This window comes from Homo sapiens, chromosome 5, assembly GCF_000001405.40.
Source record: "Homo sapiens chromosome 5, GRCh38.p14 Primary Assembly".
Classification (NCBI taxonomy): Eukaryota; Metazoa; Chordata; class Mammalia; order Primates; family Hominidae; genus Homo; species Homo sapiens.
In genome coordinates, this window is record NC_000005.10 from 35,995,547 (window position 1) to 36,001,737 (window position 6,191).

At 41.5% G+C, this 6,191-nt stretch overlaps 1 protein-coding gene across 7 annotated transcripts in view; it reads right to left on the reverse strand.

Moving 5' to 3' along the window:
* UGT3A1 (UDP glycosyltransferase family 3 member A1) overlaps positions 1-5,476 on the reverse strand; it is a 50,017-nt gene extending 44,541 nt beyond the window's left edge. For 3 of the 7 annotated variants that reach the window (XM_011513957.3, XM_047416707.1, XM_047416710.1), the window contains exons 1-2: positions 5,422-5,476; positions 1,693-1,778 (exon numbers count right to left, since the gene is read on the reverse strand). In XM_011513957.3, the coding sequence (XP_011512259.1) occupies positions 1,693-1,778; positions 5,422-5,438 (103 nt within the window). In that variant the 5' untranslated portion in view covers positions 5,439-5,476. Of the gene's footprint in view, positions 1-1,692; positions 1,784-5,421 lie in introns of all 7 variants that reach the window. The other 4 variants (XM_011513959.3, NM_001171873.2, XM_047416708.1 and 1 more) reach the window with 3 other exon arrangements.
* Positions 5,477-6,191: the final 715 nt, after the last annotated feature.

Below are 6,191 nucleotides of genomic sequence, written 5' to 3' on the forward strand. Positions count from 1 at the left end.
TTATCAGCTAGTCTACATGTTGGTCTCAGAAGCTAAAGCTAAGGAATGGCTGGAAAAAGCACAGTGGTCAGACCCTATAGCAGATTTAACCCCTGAAGGCCCAATAGAGCCAACAACCAGCCCCCGAAATCCAGAAGACAGGCATAAAGAGTCACGGGAATGAGTGACTGCTCTGTTAAATATTATTCCTTCAGTGCTCCAAAGGGTTGTGAATTGGAATAAAATCCAACAATGCTGCCAGAACCCAAATGAATCAGTTTTAAATTATTTAACATATTTTGATAAAACTTTAAGTATTGCAGGATGTCAGTTGATTGCTTTGAAAACAATAAAAAATAATACATTATAAAATGCAAATTTCTTAAACAGACTAGATGATGATTTAGCCACCCTTGTAAAATGGCACATGACAAATTGGGCCATGACTAGACTAATGAACTAGTTAACTTAGCTGATCAAATATCCTGCGCTATGACAAAAAAAAAAAAAAAAGGAGAAATAGAAGATTGCCCAGGTTATGCATTTACAGCTAAAGCAATTAACTTCTCAAACCTCTCAGCCCCAGAAAGACTTTAAGCTCTCTCCATCTGAAGACTCTTGCCTCCCAGTCTGTTACTACTGTAAAAGACGAGGATACCTTAAGCGAGGCTGCCTTAGGCTGAAACAAAAGAAAAGGCAGGAGAATGCAACTCAGGAAGACTAGGGATGCTCCGAGAAAGTGCAGGGGTTTCGCTTCTCCAAATATTCTATCCTGACAAACAAATTGGGAGAGATTCATATAATAATAAACCATGAGCTTACAACTACCTTAATTGACACAGGCATGACTATATCTCTGATAAACCCCACCTTATTTAGAAACCTCATTCTTCAGAGTAATAAAATAATTAACATGTTGGGTGTGTCTAATAAAACAATCTCATGTTTTAGGTCAAAACTTGTACCTTATCATTTCAATGGAATCACCCCCTTGACCCAGGCTCTAAGTGTGACACGTTAAGTAGGTCCCATATATTTCTAATATGCCCTGGGGCCCCTGTCAATCTTTTGGTCTGTGATCTCCTCAACATCCATAATGCCCATATCTCTTTTTCATCAAAAGGTGAACTTTTTTAAGAATTGGAGTCAGGGGACCAAAAATACCAAATTAAAAACTGTCCTGACAATGTACCACAATTTAGCACCAATAATGTTAAAACATCATCTTGTGACAAGGAAAGTGAAGTGGAGCAGAGAAGGAAATATTAGGGGAGAAGAAAGAACATTGGAATAAAGAGAAGAAAGCAGTAAAACTCCTTTTAGCTTCCCCAATCTTCCTGTTAACAACAGAAGCAGAGCACTTGCTAAAGGATGTCCCATCCCACTTATGGTCTCAGTCAAATACAGATATAGGGAATATATTCTCAGCCATTCCAATAAAGGTAGAGAAAAACCCAAAGAAACCCCTACTCAATCTTAATATCCTCTATGACAGGGAGCCATAGATGAAACTGTCCCTACCACACAAGATTATCTGAAAAAGGGGCTCATTATTTCCTGCACAAGCCTCTGCAATAGCCCTATATTCCCTGTCAAGAAACCAAGCAGGAGAAGATGGAGTCTTGTGCAGGATGCTAGGGCAATAAACAATGTCATAATACCCAGACACCCAGCAGTCCCCAACCCACACACCCTTCTATCAACTGTACTCACACAGCCAGTATTTCTCAGTTGTGGGTCTCTGCAGTGCCTTCTTTAGTATTCCTGTAGGTCCAGACAGCCAATATTTGGATATTTGCCTTTACTTGGAAAGAACAACAATACACATGGACAGTAATGCCCCAAGAGTATACAGAAAGTCTCACTTACTTTTCCCAAATATTAAAAGCTGATTTAGAGGATTTAATTTTTTTTTTTTTTGAGACGGAATCTCACTCTGTCACCCAAGCTGGAGTGCAATGGTGGATCTCGCCTCACTGCAACCTCCGCCTCCCAGGTTCAAGTGATTCTCCTACTTCAGCCTCCAGAGTAGCTGGGATTACAGGCGCCTGCCATTATGCCTGGCTAACTTTTGTATTTTTAGTAGAGGCAAGGTTTCACCATGTTGGCCAGGCAGGTCTCAAACTCCTGACCTCGTGATCCACCCACCTCGGCCTCCCAAAGTGCTGGGATTACAGGCATGAGCCACAGCACCCAGCCAGAGGATTTAATTTTTACCCAGGGCTCAACACTCATCCAGTATGTGCATGATCTTCTCCTTTGTTCAGACACACTGTCTTCCTCTCAAGAAGATAGTCTATATTTACTCAAACAGTTAGCCATCAAGGGACACAAAGTGTCCAAAGACAAACTTCAGCTATATTTACTGAGACTTAAGTATTAGGGGCATATTATCTCTGTCAAAGGACTGAGTATTAACCCTGACAGTGTAAGAGGAATTTCAGCTTTCCCCATGCCTGTCACTAAGAAACAACTTAGAGGATTTTGGGGCCTGGCAGGCTATTACAGAAACTGGATACCAACTTTCTCCCTTATGGCTCAACCTCTGTATGCCTACCTAAAAAAATGAACAACCTGATCCCATCATGTGGACTCCAGAGGGACAATCAGCTGTACAACAAATAAAGGAAATTCTAACTGATGCCTCAGCTTTAGAAAACCCAAACTACAAATTTCCTTTCTCCCTTTTTGCACACGAAATTGTGGGTACTGCATTTGGAGTACTGACCCAGAAACATGGTGATTATCAGAGACCTATTGGCAATTGTAGCCAACAGCTGGACGCTGTGGCTCAAGGGCTGCCTCCTTGTATGACAGCAATCACAGCAATTGCCCTTCTGTACAAGTCTGTTGAAGAAATTATTATGGGTTACCCCCTTACCATTTTTGTGCTGCATTCTCTGGATACCCTTCTAAACTGTCATCATACTCAAGATCTGTCAGCTGGTCAGCCTCTTATAAATTTTGGCTTTTATTATCTCCCAATATAACTATTTCCCACTACAGTGATCTTAATCCAGCCACTCTCTTGCTGGGACTTTTCGACAAAATCCCTCATGACTATGTTGTAATGATTGACTGACTTGTTACCCCCAGGGCAGACCTACAATAGATGCCACTGGATAAAGCCAAAATAGAATGGTATACAGGTGGATCTTATTTAAGAGGAGAGGATGGAAATTTTAGAGCAGGATATGCTGTGGTTTCCTTATGGAGGTAATTGAAGCCGGTCCTCTTCCCTAAGCCAGATCAGCTCAAGTGGAGTTGCCAAATTGATTGCCCTAACTGACTTGAGCTTGTCAACTGGCAAAAGAGAAGGCTTCAAACATTTACATTGACAGATTTTGGGGTTGCTCATGACTTTGGGATGCTATGGAAAGAGAGAGAATATTTAACCTCCTCAAAGCAACCCATAAAAAATGTACAATAGGCCGAGCGCGGTGGCTCACGCCTGTAATCCCAGCACTTTCGGAGGCCAAGGTAGGCAGATCAGGAGGTCAGGAGATTGAGACCACCCCGGCTAACATGGAGAAACCCCGTCTCTACTAAAAATACAAAAAAGTTAGCCGGGCATGGTGGCCGGCGCCTGTATTCCCAGCTACTCGGGAGGCTGAGGCAGGAGAATGGCATGAATCCAGGAGGCGGAGCTTGCAGTGAGCCGAGATCACACCACTGCACTCCAGCCTGGGCCACAGAGAGAGACTCCATCTCAAAAAAAAAAAAAAAAATGTACAATAAGTGTCAGAGCTGTTAGGAGTTATTCTAAAACCAAAACGTTTGGCAATTATAAAAATCCCAGGTCACTCAAAACTAGACTCCACAGAATCAGGGTAACCAATTGGCTGATGCCACAGCTGAAAGAGCAGCATTCAAGCCACCAGCACCAATCCAGGAAATGCCCATAAAACCTGAAACACTTAAAAACATGTTGAAAGAAACTGAGAGCACAGCTCCATCAAAGGAGAAATCCACTTGGAAACAAGCAGGGGAATACTTGACTCCCGAAACTAAAATATAGTGTGGACCTAATAATAAATCCATTATTCCAATGGCATATCAGGTGCCCTTATGGAATATATTCATAATCAAACCCATTGGAATCCAGATAAAATGAAACCCTGGTGTAAAAAAATATTACTGGAAACCGTCCTTCATGGTGGCAAATAGTTTACTCTTGATGTGACATTTGTCCCAAATATAACCCAGGAAATTCCCTCCATGGGGCCAAGGGTCATTTTCCTTTTCCAGCTGGACCTTTTAAGGTATTGATTGATTTTATCCAGCTGCCATCATCTCAAAATTACAAGTATGTTTTAGTAATGGTCTGCATGTTTTTCCATTGGGTTGAAGCTTTTCCCTGCAGGCAAGTAACAGCTATGGCAGCTGGAAAAAATCTACTAGAAAAAAATTATGCCATTGTGGGGAGTCCCCTGTGAACTTCACAGTGACAGAGGAACTCATTTTACTGGCCAGGTTATTCAAAATATTTGTAAAATTCAGCCCATATGTTAACATTTCCATTGTGTCTACCATCCCTGGTCCTCAGGCCTGGTGGAGAGGCCCAATGGAATAATTAAAACATATCTAAGTTCACGAAGGCATTTCACCTCCCCTGGCCCAAAGCACTCCCCCTAGTGCTGCTTACACCCCAATCCACCACTTTCGGTAAACATTAACTGTCCCCTTATGAAATTAGAACAGGAAGGCCATGTGTATGGAAATGAAGATAACCAATCCAACTTTTCTCAAGGGAGATATATTGCAATATTGTGAGGGACTCATTTATCATCTCTTCAAAAAGCCAAGATTTAGTAAAGAATTCCTTTTACAGTGTGCTCCCAGAAGATGAGATGCCTCATCATGATCTGCAACCCAGAGATTTTGTCTATTGGAAAAGACATCTAATAAAGGATTCCCTTCAACCACAATGGAAGGTCCCATACCAGGTACCATTGACAAATCCATGTGCTGCAAAATTAGAGGGTTTAGACTCATGGATTCACATCTCTCATCTTAGAAAGGCACAACCTCCTGAGTGGACTGTAACTCCCAACAAAGACCTTTACCTCCAGTTTACTAAACATCAATCTTCAACCCAGGATTAAAAGCAGATGACAGCTGTTGTGGACTGTTTAACCCCAAGACACAGGACCAGGCATGTATACAAAGGAATGCCTGTGTTTATTGTACAATAACCATTACAATTATTGTCCATTACAATTATATATAGGATATAACAGCAACTCCTGTCTTAGAAAGAACAGGCACTTAAACTATCTGATTTAATATCCTTTAGTAACTGAAGTGAATTTCACAACCTTGCTATCATTGATCCTATGTCCCTACATCTTCTTGCCACTGCCAATCACAGATGCCAATGAAATGAACCTGTTTCTATAATGGGCTCAGGATTATGCAGACAGATTATAAAAGGACACCTACTGGATATGTGGACTCATGCCTCTTTCCAGTGGCTCTGGTCTACCATGGTGGGTATCCCCCTTCCAAGGTCAGGACTGGATAGAATACCAAAAATTTATTACATCACAGAAAGGGTCTGGTATCCTTAGTAACGGCATAACAAAAGACAATATATAGAATTGGCCCATTAAAAACATGTTTAAGAACAAGGGACATAGGAAAAGTATTTCAATGGGAAGGATCATCTCATTAGCTCTCACTTTAGCATCCTCTCAACAAAAACAGGAAGTGGTAACCACACCCCAAACAACAGCGCATTTTCAAAATGGGATAATGCAAATTTGGGATGGATTTATCTGTCTCACCCCTTCATTTGGCCAATTCAGCCAAAATGCTTCTTTGTACTGGGAGCAAAGAAACCACACGAAGAACCTATGGCCAAAAAGTACAGGAGATATGGGGTGGATAGCTGGAGAATGCTGTGACCACATTATCATATTACGAGACACTGACTGGCATGCCACTGATTGGGTGCAGGGACTAGGTATTTATTGAGTAGCTCCAGATGGGACATATTGGCTGTGTGGCACTAATTTATGGCTGTGGTTACTTCCAGGGTGGTTAGGATGATGTTTTTTAGGTTATGCTTGGGTACAAGGACGAGTAATTCAAACCCTGCCAAAATCAGCAAGCCTTTTTTCTTTAAATCTTGTTGGATACATTCAGTATTCCGATGATATGATCACTTAGCTTCTGCCACCAAGTTCCCAAAGATTCAAACCAACCATTTA